The sequence below is a fragment of the Homo sapiens genome, chromosome 10 (genome assembly GCF_000001405.40).
Source record: "Homo sapiens chromosome 10, GRCh38.p14 Primary Assembly".
Taxonomy (NCBI): Eukaryota; Metazoa; Chordata; class Mammalia; order Primates; family Hominidae; genus Homo; species Homo sapiens.
Genome location: NC_000010.11, coordinates 117734816 through 117755427, shown reverse-complemented (window position 1 = coordinate 117755427; position 20612 = coordinate 117734816). Strand labels below are relative to the sequence as shown.

At 47.7% G+C, this 20612-nt stretch overlaps 1 long non-coding RNA gene across 1 annotated transcript; it reads right to left on the bottom strand.

Moving 5' to 3' along the window:
• Positions 1 to 2105: 2105 nt before the first annotated feature.
• On the bottom strand, positions 2106 to 20509 carry LINC02674 (long intergenic non-protein coding RNA 2674). The gene is made up of 3 exons (NR_187475.1): positions 20077 to 20509; positions 19080 to 19225; positions 2106 to 2392 (listed from the first exon to the last, which is right to left on the bottom strand). It is a non-coding gene; the product is annotated as a long intergenic non-protein coding RNA 2674 (long non-coding RNA).
• Between the last annotated feature and the right edge of the window lie 103 nt (positions 20510 to 20612).

Here is a 20612-nt window from a genome sequence, read left to right as displayed (position 1 = left end):
GCTGATTATGTTTATTTAGACTCTATTATCTATCGCTAATGTGCTATCCTGCGTTCCGATCGTCCCCATTCTCTGGGTCGTAATGATGCAGGGCACACGCACAGTGTGATTTCCATGACCTACAACACGGCTTTCTCCCTGTTGCAGGAGAGAGAGGGGGCCACAGTGGGAGGCTGTTCACAGGTTCTGCTCACTCCCACTCATCCACTGTGAACCTTCGCTTTCCTCTGAGAAATTTAGAGCAAGGCTCTCGGAAGTACCAGAAAGACAGATTCTCCTAATTAAACCTCAGAGGAGTGGAAGTTTCTTTGGTCTGTGATTATCTGAAGGGTTTTTGAAAATGTAAATCTGGTTGGGGAAAAAATAGAGGGAGGAAGAGGAGGCCTGAATTTGAGAGGATGTCTCATTGGTTAGCAAGAAGTCTCAGGGACTGATGAAATCTACTAGAAATGCACATCTTCCTGGACAAGCTGATGTGCATTCAAGCAGTCTCTGGACCCTGGGAACTGGATGTGGGTGGTATTCTTTCCCCTCAAAGCCTTTGATTCAATTATTCTTTGCTAGGATTCTCAGAAGAGAATTTTTATTTGTTTTTTTTTAAGTATATCTGTGAACAACAGTGTGAATATACTCAATGACACTGGATTATGCAGTTGAATATTATTAAAATGGTAAATATTACATTATACATATTGTCCACAATTAAAACAACATCACTAAAAGAAACAGAAGAATATAATTTATAAGCAGAATTTAGAAGCATAAGTAAGGAATAGGGTTTTAACTTTATAACTATAATGTATCAAGGATTCATTTTATCAACCAAATAACCTTCTAAATCATCCGGTTAGCACACAAAACTACTCTCAAGTTAATTTTTTTAAACTCTTAAATTAACAACAGTAATTCAAGAAAACTATTTGGTCAATTAAATCAGTTGCATCTGTGGGGCTGTGGAGTGAACTCAACCTTATTCGTTTTTACCAACTTCCCATTCAACTTGTTCTGAGGACAGTTTTTTATGCACTCCTGGCTATAATCTCACATGGGTTCAATAGTTGTATGTGTCACTTATAAAATAGAGAACCCAGACCCATCCAATAATAATTTTTTTAAAAGTATAGCTGGATGCGCATGTATATGTATTCCATACACATCAACCCCCTTCATGTCTCTCACTGCACTGTGTGGTAGAAAAAAACCTAGAGACCGGGGTTCAAGCTTATGCTCTGCCCCATGTCCCATGGTGTATAAGGGGAACGGAAGACACATGGCCTCATTAGGCCTCAGCTTCCACACCTGTAAGATGAGGATGACACCAAGGCACACTCTGCAAGGTTGATCTCAGAAAGAAATATAATGGTGTCTGCAGAGGTACCTGGCACACGCAGAGAAAGGACCCCATGAATGTCCATCATTTCTCATCTATGAGAGGGAAGAGGAGTACTGGCCTTGAGTGTGTGAAAGCATCTGACAGGCCTCCACAACCTCCCCTGCCTTCTCTGCAAAGAACACCCTCAGGATCCTCAACCTGTCTCTGTTTTCGAAATCGACTCCTAGAAAGTTGACCTGTGCACAAATGCATGATGTAACTTTGCAAATTAAATGTGTAATGCTTTTAGAACAACGATGCCCTTTCCTCCCCTGCTCCCCACCACTGGGACCAGGTAATTTGCAGGCGCATCTGTTGTAGGTGTTGGAAATACTCAGAGATATTTTTAGATCCTGGCCTGGGGTCCAAAAGTAAAGAGGCTGGCTCCTGGGACCCAGTGATGCCTGTGGCATCGGTCAGGTAACAGGGGCCAGGCGGGAAGTTCTGTGAGCAGGGTGGACCAGGGCATATGGCCTGAGGCCGGTGGGTAGAGCATCAAGTAGAGAAGTGAAAAGGAACAGGACTGACTCCTATTGGGGCAGTGAAAGGCGGAAGCACCCCCTGTCCAAGCACACAGACACACACACACACACACACACACACACACACACACACACACACACACTTATCAGATCTTACTTAACCAGATATTACCTAGCTCAGGAAAAGAACTTAACCCCTCTGAGCCTCAGCGACTTCATTTGTAAAGCAAGGAAATGGACCCACTTAGCTCTTCCACTGAGATTGTTCAGGCTGGCAGCACTTTAATTTACAGAGTGTCTGCTGGGTACCCAGCTTTGTACCAGGTGCTGGAGGGAGAGGGTGGAGGATCAAAGAGAAAAAGAGGAGGTGTAATTGTCACTGTTGCCTGAAAGAAGCCATCACTCTTCTGCAAACATTGTCATGCTCTTCACTCTTGTTAGAATAAAATCCAAACTCTTTATCAAGATCTACACAAAACTTTGGGATCCAGCCCTGGTACTTCTGTTAGACAATATTTTGTAATGCTCCTTTGATATCCTGAAACAAAATTCAGAGATTGTATAATTTATCTACACACAAGATGTCTTAATAAATATAATGTCTTAACTATAATATGAAAACAAAATAATACAAGATATATATTTTAATATTATACTAAAATATATTATTTTAATATAAATTAAAACAAAAACCAAAATAATGTAATATACAAACAAAAAAGAAGTAATTTGTCACAAAACAGCATGCATTTCAATGGGTAAATCCTCTGACATGATTCTCTAGTGAGCACCAGAAAGCAATCAGGTACCTGTGTTTGGGTGTAAAACCATAGAGAATGCCAAATACAGACTGACAACATGTATGTTGTTTTGGCGATTCAAATACCAAGAGTGATGTTACCATGGGTGACCTGATTTTCCCAACATGGGCAACACTGCTTGTGAGCCTTCTAAACAAAACACAGTGTGATCTTGCCTTAATTTACATAGTAGTTGCATTCCTAGACAATTCCACATATAATTGAAACTATGCTAAAAAATCACTTTCTGTTTATATGAATAAGAGAGTTAAGTCCAGGCTCAGATTTTCACTAATAGGCCTTTTACCTATGTGAATATCCACCAAGACATCCTGAAGTCAGGCAGGACCCAGGACAGTCCCCGGTTGTGTGGGACTGTTACCTGTACTGCTTGAAACCTTGCATCCTCCCTGGCACCTGCTCACCAAGCTACTGCCCCTGAAATATCCTAATAAACGTTAGAGGGCAATACTGCTCCCCTTGGGAACCCCTGCTCTGACTCCTGCCACCTCCCTGACATTGGATCTGTCCTACACTCCCCTTGTTCACCACATTCCCGGACACCTAGCTTTTCTCCATGTCACCAGGCACCCCAGGGGGCCTTTGCACATGCTGTTCCCTCCACCATGAATGCTCTTCCGCAGATGTGCACATGGGGCCCTTCTCATTAGTCATATCTCAGCTCACATAACATTTCCCTGACAGCAGCTTTCCCTGACCACATGTTCCCACATGTTCCCACTCTGCTGTCCTCATCACCTCGTTCTTTTCTTTCTTTTTTTTTTTTTTTGAGATGGAGTCTTGCTCTGTCACCCACACTGCAGTGCGAGTGCAGTGGCCTGATCTCAGCTCACTGCAACCTCCACCTCCCAGGTTCAAGTGATTCTCCTGCCTCAACCTCCCGAGTAGCTGGGACTACAGGCATGCGCCACCATGCCCGGTTAATTTTTGTATTTTTTAGTAGAGAAGAGGTTTCACCATATTGGCCAGGCTGGTTTTGAACTCCTGACCTTATGATCCGCCCACCTCGGACTCCCAAAGTGCTGGGATTACAGGCATAAGCCACTGCGCCCGGCCTGCCTATCACCTCGTTCTTATCCCTCAAGTCATATGTCATTGCTGTAATGATCTGTTTCTAGCTTGTCTTCCCCATTAGACTGGGGTCAACAAACTTTTCTGTAAAGGGCTAGATTAGAAATATTGTAGGCTTTACAGGCCATATGATCTCTGTCATGACAACTCACTCAATTCTGCCATGCTAGTTAGCCACAATGCGTGAACAAATGGGCATGGCTGTGTTCCAATAAAACTTTATTTACAAAAATCAAGAGTCAGGCTGCATTCAGCCTGTGGGCAGCAGTTCACCAGCCCCTGCCCTGGACTGTAAGCTTCACATCTGTCTGGCTTGCTCTTGAATCCTTTGGGTCTAACATAGTACAGGGAAGATGGTGACAGCTGAATGCATGTTTGTTGAAGAAATGACTCTGTTGTCCAGTTGGAGTGAGGAACAAGAGAAAACATGAGAAAGACATACCAATTCTTAGCACCTAGGGAAGTATTTACATGTTGATTGCACAGCCAGCACTGCGAGAGTCCTGAGAAGGAAAGGGCAGAAGAATTCAGGGAGGGCTTCCTAAAGGAAGTGACCCTGAATGGGATGTGAAGGAAGGATGGGATTTGGACCGTGATAATCATGGCATTTACTCGTTCAATCATTAATTCCTCCACTCATTCAGGGACTTTTTTCAAATGTCATATAGTTGTTTACAAAACAAAGATGAACATGCAGTGCTCTCAGGGAAGAAGGAGACTTTGAGCCTGTTGTCAGGACAGTCTGGAGATTCCAGGGACTCTGTGGCCCAGTCACACTTTGGGTGCCTAATGTGTACCAGAGAGACGAGGCTCACATCCCGGACATGGCGCAGTAGTGCCACAATTGGCACTCCATCCCACCAGCCATCCACAGCATCCAACTGGCACTGTGCCATGCCTGTGAATTTAGTGCATGCTTGTTCTCAGTCTCGGCCCAAACCCTCACCCTCCAGCCTCACCCAGTCCCAGGGCCCCAGACTTCTGCACCATCACACCTTAATCACAACCTGCTCTTGGATCCTCCATTCACCCAGTGATATAATCATACACTCTCCCTAGGAAGGAGGTACAGTCATGGTGGGTCTTCAGACAGAGGCCTGGGTGGACTTTGAGGCCAGGTGCCCCTAGGTCTTCAGAGCATCATGGCACACCTGCCAGGCAGTGTTAAGTAACTGCAGAGGTACATTTCAGCACCAGGATGGGCACCTTAAGACCATACCTGATAATTCTTTGATCTTTTAAGGAGTTATTTGAGGTTCTTTTTAAAACCGAATCAAGATTATCCCCATTTTTCCGTCTCTGTTGTTCTTCCCTCCAAAGCTGCAGGCCTTGCACCTCTTAAGAACCTCAGAACTGTTTTTCTTTCTCTCTTTGCTTTGGCTTCTAAGAAACTCAGAGCCAAATGCATAGTTCCCAGTCTTTCTGTGGCCTACCTGTTGTGCAGTGAGTCCTCACTCGAACTTATTTTCCTGCCTTATTTCCCTTACATTTGTGGATGTACAGGATGCATTTCTACAGGCCAACTCAAGTCCTATCAGGGACAAGCCAGGTGTCCCTTGCGTTAAAAAAAAAAAAAAAAAAATTGCAGAATGTTCACCCTGTCTCCCCACCCCCTCCAACCCTGAACATATTTTATTATTTCATTAATATCGAACTTAATTATTTTGCAATTTAGTTTGATCTAGACAGCCAAGCATTTCATAAACAATACATTTTATATCTGCTAATGAGGGGTAAAAATAGATCAACTCATTTCTTGACACAGTGTTGATATTGTATCATGAAAACATCCCCTACAGGAAACTCTCTGCCAGGGCCTCCTCCCTGTCCTAGTCTTGGCTCCGTGTCCTTGTGGAGACCCCGACCTAATGTGCTCTGTAGGGCAGCGCACAGCATTTCTGCACCCGGGGAGCTGAGGACTGTAGCCCAGAAGTGACTAAAGTTCACACATTTTTTAAATCCCCAAAGGGCTGCTCTTTGTAGAGTGGCTAAGAGCTGGGCTTTGGGATGGGAGAACCCCTCCTTCATTCCTTTGTTAGGTATTCAATAAATGGAGCACTGGCCGGGCACGGTGGCTCCCGCCTGTAACCCCAGCACTTTGGGAGGCTGACGCGGGTGGATTGTTTGAGGTCAGGAGTTCAAGGCCAGTTTGACCAACATGGTGAAACCTCATCTCTACTAAAAACACAAAAAATTAGCCAGGCACGGTGGTGGGCGCCTGTAATCCCAGTTACTCGGGAGGCCGAGGCAGGAGAATCGCTTGAACCTGGGAGGCAGAGGTTGCAGTGAGCTGAGATCGCGAGCCACTGCACTCCAGCCTGGGCGACAGAGCGAGACTTCATCTCAAAAACAAAAATTATTTTAATAAAAAATTTAAAAATTAAAAAAAAATGGAGCACCTTTGGGGGCCAAGCATCATGCTAACCACTGGGGAAGCAGGGTAACAAGGTGAAGAAAGTCCATGCCCTCTCGGCCCTCATCTTGCAGTGTAGTGAGACCACAATCACAATCAATAAACCAGATCTTTCCAAATTGAACTAAGATAACAGTGAGCAGCCGGCAGGGGAGCAGCTGGAAAGACCTCTCAGAAGAGGCGGCATCTGAGCTGGCCATGAGAAGAGGAGGGGGAGGCTGCAGTCATGGAGAACCATAGCAGAAGTCCAGAGCAGGAATGAACAGGGCACACAAAGGCACCGTAGCCTAGAGGCCAGTGAGGCTTCCACCTGGCCTCCACCAGGAGGCTCGAGGGTGAAGAGGCAGCCTTCAAGATGCCTGGGAAAACTGCTTGCAGCCTCTGTGAATGCATCTATGGTGACAAGACAATGTCACCCCACTCACAAAATGCTGATGCTAGACATTGAAAGAATCAAAAGAGAGAACAAACAAAAAGTGGGGGTAGAAAATGGGGCCAGAGACTCCCTTCTAAATAAGCCAGCGGCCCCCGTGCCAGTGGGCACTGTGGAGATGCCAAAGCCTCCAAGAGTCTGGTCCCTGGCAGGGCCATCTGTGGACCCCAGGCCTCCCCGCAAAGCCTAGCCTGGTGGCTCTGTGTGGTTTGCTGGGCTGTCGAGATGACCACAGAGCTGCGCTGGGAATCGCAGACGATCTTTTCTTAGCTGACAAGTGAAAGCTCTTTTCTCTCTGCATTTAGCTTGAGATAATGCTGTTCTGGGCCCGCCTAGGAAGAGAGAGATCTACTTGACAAACAGCAAGGGCTTCTCGCCCCATCCATGAGGGGGTGACGCTTTCAAACCCGGCAAAAAAGTCCTCCATGCCAGCAATCTCGGGGCGTTCATATGAGGCCTGCTGGCGACGTCTGAGCACCAAGATTACACAGCGACAAGCCGGGAAAGCACAAAACTCTACCTTGCCACCTTTTTAATGAGTAAAATCCTCTGGCTGCTGCCCAGGCCCTCAGAGACCAGCTATTAATGAACGCTTAGAATAGACCGTGCCTGTTTGATCCGTGTATGGTGGCCTGGGAGAGACACTTCAATTTCCATTTTACATCTTCTGCCATGTTTAAGTGTCTCCTTAAGGGCAGGAAAACACTTTGCAAATTTTGTCTTTAAAGAGACATGTTCAAAGAGAGCATCCTCTCCCCGCAGCCACATTCTATATGTGAGCACTTTTCAATTTTCAAAGTATATATTTAGATTATGTATCTCAAAACCCGAGAGACGCTGCCGGGCCACAGGGCCTCCGCTGCACACACACTTCTCTTCCTGCCTCTTGGGGCTGTGAGAAGAGGGCTTTCCGGGTTCGTCCTCGGTTCTGTGTCTTCACTCACCGGGATGGGGATGGGTGCAGGAGACAGGGACAGCTGGTGTTTCGTTCTGACTTGCAGATCTTGGTCCTAGGCCGGCAGGCAATGTGGATCCTACCTTGAGTACCATGATTTCCAGACACTTCATCTGCAGTTGGGAGTCAAGGCGCCCAGGAAGGGAGGCTGGACTGGGTGCCCAGATGGGCACAGCAGGGCCTGGAAAGGAGGCATGGGTGGCCTGAGTCTGCCAAGGGAGTCGGGGGATGAGGCTACATTCAAGATACAATTTTCCAGGGGTCTTTCCAAGATTAGAGGAAGATCCAGAGTGGAAAAGAAAGGAAGAGGTGGAGGCAAGAAAAGGGCTTTAGAAGAAAGTGTATGCTTGGAGGTCTCAGGAATGCCCCTGTTGTCACAAGGGACCATTGTCAGCCATGTGAGGTGAGGGTGAAGACAGTAAATGAACTGAGGGGTTGTGCAGTATGCTGGAAAGCATTCTCTCCAGCTCTGGAATTTATCAGCTGTGCAATTTGGGGCAAGTTACTTAGCTTCTCTGAGCCTCCACTTTTTACTTGTAAAATGGGATCATGATCCCTCAACCTGCAAGACTGTTATGAGGGTGACATGCCTTGCCACAGGTACAGTGCTGGTGTATGGATGGTGCTGGCTCAGTGGTGTCTGTGTTTGTGTCTATAGACTAATCATCATCAGAGAGCAGCTCAGAACAGGAAATCCATCCTCCAGTCAGCCTCAGAAGACTCGCAGGATAAATGTGTCATGAACAGGAAAATAAATTCAGAGAAGTAAAATTTATCTATATTTTGAAAGGGGACATTCTGGGGTGAAAGCCGCTGACAGTATGAATTGCTATTGATTTCATCATTGTTGCCACCTCCAGAACAGATGGCCCTGAAAGCACCGTAAGCCTGTGGCATCGCAGGCTGTTTCCAATGATCTCAGAGTGTTACAAAACTCATCAAACCTGAGTTTTCTCTGGTTCAAAATACCACCATTCTCCATCACCAAGACTTTGGCAAGTAAGAGAGCTGGCACAGAATCTGGCATTGCAGAGCCTGCTCGCTGCTCCTCCAGGATCCGATCTCCCATTCTTCCGCCATCGAGAGCTCCTCTGTTCTACAGTCAGTGATATTTCCAGTCAAAGACTCTACTGCCCAGCCCCTTCTACAGCCAGGTGTGGCCACACGATGAAGTTCTGGCCAATGAAACATGAGAAGCTAGTAGGGAAGGACTTCTGGGAAGGTTCTTTGAAACAGAGAAAACACAACTGGAGAAAGTCCTTTTTGCTTTACCCTCTTCCTCCTTCCCATTGCCTGGAATGCAGACACAATGGCTGGAGCTGCAGCAGGCATCCTGAAATACTGAGGACAAAAGCCATATGTTGGGAATGGCAGTGCAAGAGGAGAGACACAGCCTGGGCCCAGATGATTGCGAAGCCACCACACCAGCCTACCCAGGACTTCTTCAATGCAGAGGGGAAGTCTGTCTGCATTTAAGCCACTGTTTCCTGGAGTTTCTGTTATGTGCAGCTTAGCCTGATCCTAATATACACACTTATTTACTCGAGGCTGGTGGTTGTGTCAAAGAGGAGCTCTGGGTCCCTGGCTACCAGTCCATTCTCAGCAAGAGACACAGCGGGGCATGGGGAGGAAGGGGGCAGAATGTCCTGGTGCAGGATGAGGGTCCTAGTACCTATGCATCTTGGCTGGTGCTAAACCTCAGGGTAAGTGACCCATCTCTCCCTATTTCACCTTCTAGAGACCTCCATTCCTTCCAGCCAAAGCCTGAAATCTAAGAGAAATAGGTGCCACAGGAAAGGAGCATAAGTCAAAATGAAACCAGAGTCCTACCTCTGATTCTTACAAGCTGTGTGGCTTTGGGCAAAAGCCTCTTAACCCTTAAGCCTCAGTTTTATCCTCTGTAAAATGGGAATCATAGTAACACCTACCTCAAAGGGCTGCATGGATAATGTAAGTAAAATGCCTGGAATTCAGTTCTTAAAAATGATAGCTGTTATTATTACAGATTCATTATGAATTGACAAAATTATTTTCAGAGAGAGGTCTTGGGGCAATGGCATGTCCTCTCTGTAAATGCAGAAGGTAGCAATGCTTAGGCATTGCCCTGTGTCTTCCAGGGAAGGTGGAATCAGCTCTTCTGCCAGGAAGGTCTGTTCCAAACTGTCTGAGAACTGGAAAAAGGACAGAAATGGGAGGGAGGAGACTCAGCTCCTGTCACTGACTTTGCACTAACTAGCTCTTTGACCCCAGACAAGTCACCTACTCCTTCTGAGCCTCAGTTTCCCCACCCATGAAATGAGGATGCCAGACTACATTTCTGAGGTTCCTTCCAGCATCAAAGTGCAGCAATTCCATGCATACAGGCAGCCTGGAGAACCAGGATCAAAACAGTCAATCTGCCTGCTCTCGCTTTGACCTGCTGGAAGTTTTAGCCCCAGCCTCCTCAAATCTGCTAATCATTTTCCAATGTTCTTTCCTCTTGTATTCCGATTGTATTAAGGGCCTGATCCAGAACAAAGCATCCTTTCTGCAGACACTGAGGCTTAATCTAAGGACTGGGTCAAGAGGAGACTTGAGAGAGTAGTTTGTTTTACTTCATGAAAATTTCCTGTAAAAATTCAGATGTGCAAACCTAATACATTGGGAGACCATTGGTTTCTAACGGAGTTATCTAGAAATACAATAAATTTGCTCTTCTAAGAGTCTCCCACACAGATGATGGGAAGGAAATTTGGCAGAGTGCCTGGCTACCATGCTTGAGGTCCTGAACTAGATATTTAATACATGTCATTTAATCTAACCCTCTCCATAAGCATCCATCAGGTAAGCAATGCCATCCTCATTTTGCCAATAAGGTAGAGGGACAGTGAAGTTATATATCTTTTCCTTAAATTAAGGACACAGAGACAACAAGTGGTTGAGCCAGGACAGATTTTATCTAGGTTGTCACCACTGTACCATAATCTCGAGGCCTGAAAGAAAATGGCAAAATATGGGAAGATGGCTAGGCCAGGTATCAGAATAGTTTTGTCCTAAAACCAGCTGCCACTGGCTGGCTGTGTGACACTGGGACAGTCACAGAATCTCTCTTTGCCTGAATTTTCTCATGTGTCAAAGGTGCATATTGGGCTGAACGCAGTGGTTCACACCTGTAATCCCAGCATTTTGGGAGGCCAAGGCGGGTGGATCACCTGAGGTCAGGAGTTCAAAACTTGCCTGGCCAACATGGTGAAACCCCATCTCTCCTAAAAATACAAAAAAATTAGACAGGCGTGGTGGCGGGTGCCTGTAATCCCAGCTACTCAGGAGGCTGAGGTAGGAGAATCACTTGAACCGGGGAGGCAGAGGTTGCAGTGAGCTGAGATTGCGCCATTGCACTCCAGCCTGGGCAACAAGAGCAAAACTCCATCTCAACAAAAAAAAAGAAGGTGCTGATATTGGACAGATCAGAGCCTGCATACACCTGCTAGTAGATCTCCAAGCTGCCACAATGCCTCCATTCCACTCTGAACTCAGTGTATACCAGGACCACCAAGTAGAGAGCAGGTAGCCATGGAAACAATGCCTTGATGCCTGCTCTGCTTGGGACCCTCATAGTGAGCACATCTCCCCAACTGAAGGCTGGGGAGCTTGCCTTCATTCTGCCTTTCCCTGGCCCTCTCTGACCACTCTGGAAGCCTGCGCATGTCTCCATTGGGTTTCCAAACCCAGGCAGATCTGCTTACAAATCTGAATGTGCAACATGGACTCTGGGATCATTGAGGGCCTCTTTAAAGGTTCTCCCCAACCCCCATTCTATTTAGAGGCTGTCTTCACCCAGTGGTTCCATCAGTAGGTGGGACCCCTCACTTCCATTAACGTTCACCTGCATCAGCCATGCAGTGCCAAATGATGGAACTGCTTCCTGACATCCTGTGAGGCTGTTGCAGCATATAGATGATGTTGTTGTAAAAAATTTAACAGAACAACAATTGACACTCGAAGGCTTTTGGATTCGCCAATGAATCTGATGCCCATGTGTTGCCAAAAGCATTTATTGTCTCATAATTTGATTTACTTTTTTCCACGCTGCTCCTAGGGCCTGCAAGTAGGGGCAAAATGGCTGAGGCCTCCAGATGCCACGGAGGCTAATAAAGCGTGCTGTGCTCCCAGCATGCTCTCTGCTGTCAGAAACCGGCAATTAACTTAATAGGGATCTTGAAATGGAGTCGATCTGGGAAATGTGGCATGTGTTGACACTCTCCTGCTGATCCAAGCAGCCTCCCACCATTGACTTACAGGGTCTGTTTGCTATTTGAATTATTTAGGAGCTTGTTATGTGAATTAAAAAGCAGCACTTTGCAGCATTAAGTCTAATATTTTATGATCTTCAATTGATTAGGTGGGCTTTCAGGATTACATGGAAAGGTTAAGATAAAACACGCCTCAGACAGGCGGCTTTCACCTGTCTGCTTTGCTTTTCAAAAACCTAGATGAAAACCCAAAAGCAGTCTGCCTCCTTTTCCCTTCCATCCGAGTCTTCTGGAACCTGTTTTTTTTTTGGGGGGGGGGGCCATCAGGGAGCTTTATCACCCTGAGGATACCAGGTGTCCTGAGTTCTTAGGACTAAATGGAAGCTGGTCCCCTATTTCTCTACCTTTGTCTCTTTCTTGGCCCAAAGCTACCATTGATGACATCATGCCCAGAAGGACTGCATTCCAGGCCTGGGCCTGCAAAGAGGAAGCCCTGCAGTGGGTCCCAGTCGCTCACTTGGACCTGAGATGGGCACCACTGCCATGCCTGCCTTTGGCCAGGCACATAGCATAGGTAGCACATGCCCCACACAGCACACAGACCACCAAGATTCAGGGGACCTCCCTCTGCCATGTGTGCCAGCTCATGCTCTCCCTGTCCTGCCAGGTCCCACTATCTTCTCCCCTGGTCAATGACAATGGGATTCTCCTGGGCTTCTCCCACTACTCCCATTCCAATCTGCCTTATGCTTTGCAGTCAGAAGGATTTTTCTAAAACTCAGCTCTGGCCACGACACTCCCCTGCTCAAAAACCTTCATTGGTTCCCAATTGCCTGTTAAGTATACACTCTTCAACCTGGCCCGACCTCTCTTTCTAGCCTCATTTTCTATTGTTCCCAATAAAAACCAGCCAGAGAGAGATGCTCACTATTCTCAAAACACACCTGTGCTTTCTCAACTCTGAAGAATTGCTTGTGGCATTCACTTGGTGCATTATGCCTGATATGGTTTGGCTGTGTCCCCACCAAATCTCAACTTGAATTGTCTCTCCCAGAATTCCCAAGTGTGGTGCGAGGGACCCAGGGGAGGTAACTGAATCATGGGGGCCAGTGTTTTCCATGCTATTCTCATGATAGTGAATAAGTCTCATGAGATCTCATGGGTTTATCAGGGGTTTCTGTTTTTGCTTCTTCCTCATTCTGTCTTGCTGCCACCATGTAAGAAGTGCCTTTTGCCCTCTGCCATGATTATGAGACCTCCCCAGCCAAGTGGGACTGTAAGTCAAACCTCCTTTTCTTCCCACTCTCAGGTATGTCTTTATCAGCAGCATAAAAACGGAGTAATACAATGCCTCTCTTTTCACCTGTTAAAATTCTACAAGTCCTTGGTAATTAGAAAGAGTAAAGAAGTATATAATATAGCTTACTGTGTTTCACACACTTTACTTGTTAATTCACTCATTTAATCCTCCTGCTCATCCTATTAGGTAGGTACTTTTATCACCTCCATTTTATAGATGGTAAAACTGAGACTCAGAGGTTAGATAACTTCCCCGAAGTCATTCCACTAACAAGTGACAGAGCTGGGATTCAAATCCAAATAAAAAAGGCTCATCCCAATCCCACTTTCTGGGTGAAGCCATCTCCACCCCTACCCTTGTGGCCTCTTTTTCCTTTGAGGACAGCTGTATCCTCCTTTCCATGGCACTGACTTATTTGGGCTGGAAATGGAGGTACACAGCCCCCTCTCCACCAGGATGCCAATGCTTGGGACAGTCGAGCATCCTGCACATTGTCACAGGGCTGCGGGCCAGCGTTTGTACACAGTAGGTGCTGGTTCACCCTGACTGCAGGAGGGCTCCCACCCAAAAGTTCCCGCCCCAGAGGAGCACCTACTTGGTCCTTGATGCACTTTCCAAGTGGCAGGAGTAGGCATTGCAGGTGCCAAGGGAGTGAAAGTGCAAGCTCTAAAGGCAGAGGATTTTGAATTTGAATCTAGGCTCCACATCTCCTGACCTACAAAAACTTGTTTTTCTCACCTGCAAAATGGTGGTAACAGAAGTCCCCACTCCATAAGGAAATTATCAAAGTGAAATGAAATAACTCATTGAAAGCACCTAACATACATTGCTCCCAGCACACCGTTAAGGGCCAGGAAATGCTAGCCGTTATGACCAATGGATTGACCCAAGCTGTTTGCCTCCTCAGCTCTGGGACCCTGGGCCTGGCATCTTCACACCTCCTCTTCCTCACCTACAACATAGGCTATTTAAAACTCACCTTATAGGATTGAGGGGGTGGTAACAAACTAAGAGAAGGGACGGGAACAGAACAGGCATTCGATATGTTACATTATCTTTTATTAACTTAAACCTCACTCAAGCTGAGGAATTTAATTTTTCCAGAAGACCATCAGAATTGTCCCTGATGCCTGAAATCAACAACTCTGCGCAAAACAAATGATGTCTGCCGTGCACCCCAACCCTGCAGCAGTCAAGGGGAATGATAACAGCACAGCTTCAGCCTCTGGGGAGTGTGGGATTGAACGGGGAGGCAGCACTGAGAGAGCCCATCTCACCCAAGGCAGAACCAGGGCAGGGCTGGATGGGGAGGAGGGGGCTCCGGAGCAGAGTCTCAAGGGCTCAGTTGGGAGGAGCTGCAGTCTGCCTGATCCTCTAACCTGTGATCCATCAAATGTATTGGGTGTGCCATGAGGCTGAGAGCAAGCACTTTGGCAACTGCGGCACAAAGGAGAGTGTCAATGTGATTAGCGGTGCCTTTGTAGGAGACCTGTGCCCTGAAAGGCCAGCTGTCACTAAAATTCCTTAGGTAAGGGGCTGTCTTCAGAACCTCTCTGTTGCAGGGAGACCCTGAAGCCAGGAAGCTGCTCTCAGGAATTGTCTCACTACCATCAATAACAACTGCTGAGTCTTGCTTTTTAAGGCAGTAAGGGCCTAAGAGGGCTGGAACCAAGAAGACTAAAATACATGCAAAATCTTGAATGAATGTAAGTAGGTGTGTACACTAGATACAAGTTCTATAAAATTCATTGTTGTCAGGACAGGCTTACTGCTAGCTGCAATAACAAATACCCTGTGTGTCTCAATGGTTTCATACAAAGTGTCCCAGTCCAAGCAGGCCTGCAGGGAACAGGCAATGAAGGGCAGGGTTTTCCTGGCAGGGGCTCTGGCATCTTCGACACATAGTTCCCAAGGTCCTGCTGAGCATTGACAGTCAGTTGCCAGATGGAGGAGAAAACAAGCAAGAAGGATCTTACAAGAAATTTTAGGGGCCAGGCCTGAAAGCAGCATATATTATCCCTGCCCACATTCCATTGGCCAGAACTCAGTCACATGGGGCTCTGACTCCAAAGGAGGTTGGGAAATGTCTTCCTGTGCACCCAGAAAGGAAAGAAAACTGGCTTGGAGAACACATCAGTCTTTCAAAAGGGCTTGGACAGGGAAAAATGTTAAAAGGGCAAGGAGATGAAGAAGAATGATAAGCATTATTTGCTTTATGTACACTATTTAGTCCTATCAGTAATTGATTTTTTAAATTTTATACCCATTTAACAGATAAAGAAACTGAAGCACAGAAAACTAGGTCACTACCTGAGATCACACAGTGGTAAGTGGTGAAACCAGGAATATACTTCTGGCTCATCTCTTGTCAACATGTAGTTGAAAAGGCATTCCACTTTGTGACTGTTGTGTGTTACGTATTTTGAATGGGAAGGCAAATGTGCATAGAGAAGATAATGTCAAGCTGATATTTTGGGGTCAGCTAATAGTTATTGCCTGCTTATTCTGTGGCAAACACCATTCAAAATGCTTTTCTATATATTGCATAATTGACTCCTCCCAATCCAGTTACGACCTTACCTTTATGGATGAGGAAACTGAGGCATAGAGAAATAATATAATTTGCTCAAGCTAGTAAGCAAGGAATGGGGCCTCCATCCCCAGTGACTCCTCATTCCCATTCTTGCACTCATTCAGCATGGAGTTGCTCTTGGTCACCCATGAGTTCAAAGCAAGCAGTGAACATACCTTCGTCGTCCTCATGCCCCATCATACAGCCTAAATCGGCCTCCTTGGAAGTCATGGTCTAAAGGCAGGAACCCTCCCAAGGGCATATTGGCATCCCGGTAAAGTCACCGGTAACCTGAGCACCATGCCAGGGCCCAGCAGCCCATTTAGAGTGGCACCACAATCCCAGAGGCAGCTGACATCCCCTTCACAACCTTACTAGATTCACCCAGTGGCTTCATGAAGGGAGTATTTTTACTATTTCGGACCACCCTGTCATTTAAGCCAAAATAAATTCAGCCCCTGGGGCCAGAGGCAGGTCTGATGTGAATGTGGAGAGAAACCCAAGGCTACACCGCCTCTCGAACACATGCATCCTGGCCCTCCAAGGTGTTGCTCACACTGGGGGAGGTCCAGGCCCACAGCGAGCACCTGGGACGGAGCGTGTTCCCTTGCCTTGCACCTTGCTCAAGTCCAGGGTGTTGACCACAAGCCTTTAACACAAAAGCAGCGAGCTGCTGGGTAGGTGGACAGGTTGTGGAATTGGCCGCCAGACACTCAACAGGGGTATTATGTGGGTGGTAGATGCCCTAAGAATAGGGAGGGCTGGGCTGGGCACGGTGGCTCATGCCTACAATCCCAGTACTTTGGGGTGCCAAGGCGAGCAGATCACCTGAAGCCAGGAGTTCAAGACCAACCTGTCCAACATGGTGAAACCCCATCTCTACAAAAATACAAAAACCAGCCAGGTGTGGTGATGCGCACCTGTAATCCCAGCTACTCAGGAGGCTGAGGCACAATAATCATTTGAACCTGGGAGATGGAGGTTGCAGTGAGCTGAGATCACACCCCTGCACTCCAGCCTGGGCATCAGAGCAAGACTCTCAAAAACTAAAAATATTAAAAAAACAAAACAAAAAAAAACAATAAGAAGGGCTGAAAAACATGAAAGTGCTGAGGTTGTGGGGAGGAGTCACTCAAGATATATGTGCAGCTAAAGCGGAAAGTTCTGAAGCAGAAGAGAAAGGCAGCCTTCTCCCCAAGCTGGTGTGAGGATTCTGCAGAGCTGCAACAAAGCTGCGGGGATTGGAGTCAGCTGCACTTGGTTCAGAGACCAGCTCCTCTGTTCATTAGCTCCAGTTCTTTCACCTTTCAATGTCTTGGCCCATAAAATGGATGCAATTTCAGTCTCGACTCCCAGGGCTGCAGAAGGCCCACTGGGGTTGACCACATAAAGCACCAGCACCAGGCCTGGCCTGCAGGCATCTGCAAGTGTTGACCCAGGTGCCTTTGAATCCAATCCTTCTAGAAAAAGATTTTTTTTTAAAGTAACAGATTTAATTCTCTAATAATCTGCATCATCAAATGAGACATCTCACTGTCTTATTTTTATAGCCGTTTTGCAATTTTTTAAAATCACTTCTTCATTTTCCATGGGCCATGCATCCTGAACTAGAGGGCATGAACTTTGAGGTGGGCCCAGCATGGACCAGAGCCATGGAACTGAGTGTTTCTGAGGTCAGCAGTTTGCACTTCACAGAGCGCTTCCCTGTATATTATCTTCTTTAATCCTCATTCACGGTGGCCCTGGGGGGCAGGTAGAGCTGACCTCATTACCCCCGTTTACAAACAAGGAAATGGAGATTCCCCAAGGGTTTCAGTTAGGAAGCAGCAGCTCTGGGGCTCTAAGCCAGGTCTTCGAACTCTAAGCACAGGGTGTTTTTCGTAACACCTGAGCAATCAGAGACTCAGCACCCTCTGGGCTGCCTGCACATCAGCACTTGGGCACCATGACTCTCCGACAGAGGCCTCATGCAGGATGAGGGTAACAGCAGGGACCCTGGAGCAAAGGGTCTCCGAGTTCAAGTCCCAGCTCTGCCAGTTTCTAGCCCCGCGATCATGGGCAAGCAGCAGGATCTGCCTCACCTATAAAATGGGGGTGATGTTACTCCCCACCACCTAGGGTTGCTGCGAAGATTTCAACAGCTAACAGTATGTGTCAACCAGTTAGAACAGGGCCTGGTATGTAGTAAGAGCCGTAATATGTCGCTACTGATCTCCTATGCAGGGAGCTACCCCCTCCCACCCACCTTCTCTGTTTGCTTCTGTGGCTTTGTGCCCCAAGAGGGCTGAGGCTGTGTCCTATCCCTTTTGGGGACTGAAACAGAGGGGCAGTGCAGCATAATGGTTAGGAGTGTAGGTCCTGGTTCCAAGCCCAGATCCTGCAACCTCCTGGCCATGTGATCTGTTTCTGTGTTGAGCCTCAGTTTCCTCCTATAAGAAGGGGACAATAAAAGAACCTATTCGTGAGTATTGTATGAAGTCATGTAACACACATGAAGCACCTAGAACAGTTCCTGGCACATGGGAAGTGCTAAACAAGTGTTAGCTATTATTGTATCTGTGTCCCCAGCACCCACCACTGTGCCCAATGGTGCTAAGCAGCTGCTTTTGGATACATGAATGAGTTGAGTATTTATATTTCTTGTTCTCTGGATAGCAAGAGATCCTCTCCAAATTCTATCCCAAAGATAGGACCCTGGGATGGGAATTGCCACCAAGGATGGTCACTGTGGCCCAGATACTCATTGTTTATAATGATCTCACTGAGTAAATAAATAGCATGAGACAGGAGGCAGGCCAGTTTTGGAAATACTCCGCCCCTGGCTCCAGCCGGGGCACTGAGACACAATGACCCTGGCCAGTTGAGTCATCTCAGCCCCACCCAGCCCCTCAGACTCCCTCATTCCGCCTGGCAAGCCTAGCAGGAGCCAGTCTAAAGCAGCTGGCTCTGGGGAGAAGAAAAAGCAGGTGTGAATCTGTGACTAACGCCAAGCCACAGAGGGGCAGTCAAAGGAACAGAAAAGCTCTGACCAAGGAGGTTAAGGACAAAGGCCAGTGCCACATGACGCAGTCACTGGAGTGGGAAGGGCGCATCGAAGGGCAGATAAAGCAGGCATTGCTACACTGTGGGTGGAGGTCTAGAGGGTTCCTAGGGCCCAGCTGTGCCACAGCCAGCACAGCCCTCACCTGAAGAGGAATCCCAAAGGCCCCTGTACCATCCCTCAAGCCCCATCCTCAGGAAGAGGGAGCTGTGGAGAGAGTTCACAGAAGCTGGCTCCAGCCCACAGTCAGAACTTGTCAGGGTAGAAAGATGCTGACATAGAGAAAAGTCTCCAGTTGTCTGGCATCCTTCTTGAGAACCTAGATTTCTTTAGAAAATTGTTCCTTTAATTTTGAAAATATAATTTCCATGTCAGTGATTTCACTTACAGCCTTGTAAAACAGACTTTGGCACTTAGAAAGGAGGCAGTTCAACCACGTTGGTGTGCAGGTTGGAAGGGAAGTGACTCCATTCATCCAGTCCACAGTATTTGAATGCCTACTACAAAGCAGGCACTGATCAAGGTGTTGGGCACCTGCAGAGAACAAAAACACAAGGTCCCCATTCTCATGGAACTTACATTTTGGGGAGAAGAAGACAGACAATAAACGCTAAGCAAATGGCAACAAACATTCAGATCAAGATAAATATTAGGAAGAAAACAAAGAGCTTTATGAAAGTGAAGGGTGGGATGGTTGATGGTCTCATCCTCTCATCCAGAAAGGATGAGCTGAGGCCGGAAGTAGAAGCCATGACGGGCAGGGCAAGAGCTCTGCCTGCAAGTGCAAAAGTCCTGTGGCAGGGTCACGGTTAGGGAGGTCCAGGAAAATGAAGAAGATGGACATGGCTAAGGTGGAGTGACCCCTGCTAATATTTACTGGGCACTGTACTTTGTGCCAGGCCGCATTCTAAGCACTCTATTAGTAGCTCATGAAGTCTCATAAGGGCCCTTGAAGGTGGGGTTCCGTTAACTCCATTTACAGCTGGGAGGCCAGAGAGGTTAAGGAATCTGCTCCAAGTCACCATTTAAGGACAGGGCAGGCAGGATTCCATCCTGGCATTTCAAATCCAGAGCACTTTAGAGCAGACGCCCCGGCAAAAGCCCGAGAACATATTTCCCATGGGCCTCAGGAAGGAGTTTGGATTTTGTTCCAAGTACAAGGGGAAGTGGTCAGGGCCCACAGTCCTTCAGAGGTCAGTTCAATCGTTGTTAAGCACTCAGCCAGGTGCTACGTTCTATCCCAAAGCCCCTTCCTGCGTGCCAGGCTGCCTGTCGTGAGCCTGGGGTCGGGACCTTCGGCATGCGGCCCTCTCAGCCACAGGCGACCCCCACTTTCCCGGCCGGCCCTCTCAAAGATCTCCTCACCCCCGTGTCTCCTGTCCCACCTGAACTTCTCCCGCTTCTGAAAGAGAACTGGCGCCCTGCGCTCGGAGCGGCTCAGGTCTTGGGCTCTGAGAACCCAGGCGCGCCCGGGGCTGCGCAGAGCATAGCCCACCGCACTGCGCCCAGAGGGTGCTCGCAGAGGGGCCTCTCGCCGCCTCTCCCTCCGTGGCGCCGCAGTCTCCCGGAGCCCTCCGATGGCTCTCTCGCGGAGCGAATGTTGGCCGGATTAACCTGTTATCAAAGCGCGCCGCATCACCAACCCGCCCGGGGAACTCTTTGCGCCGGCAACTCGGCCTTGTATTTCCAGCGCCATAAGCCTCTAGTGTCCGCAGTGCCCACGCACTTTGCGCCCTGGCTTTAGCGTACAGACGCTGACCCCAGCAGAGACCCTGGCTCTGAGCGAGTTCCCAGCTCTGTGACACCCCCCACCCCCCCGCACGGTGACACCAGAACATTCCATCCTGGAACATCGGCGACCCTAGGCTTCCTAGCCTGGTGGTGGCGCAGCCTGATTGGCAGGTTCCCTCTTGGCTGGGGT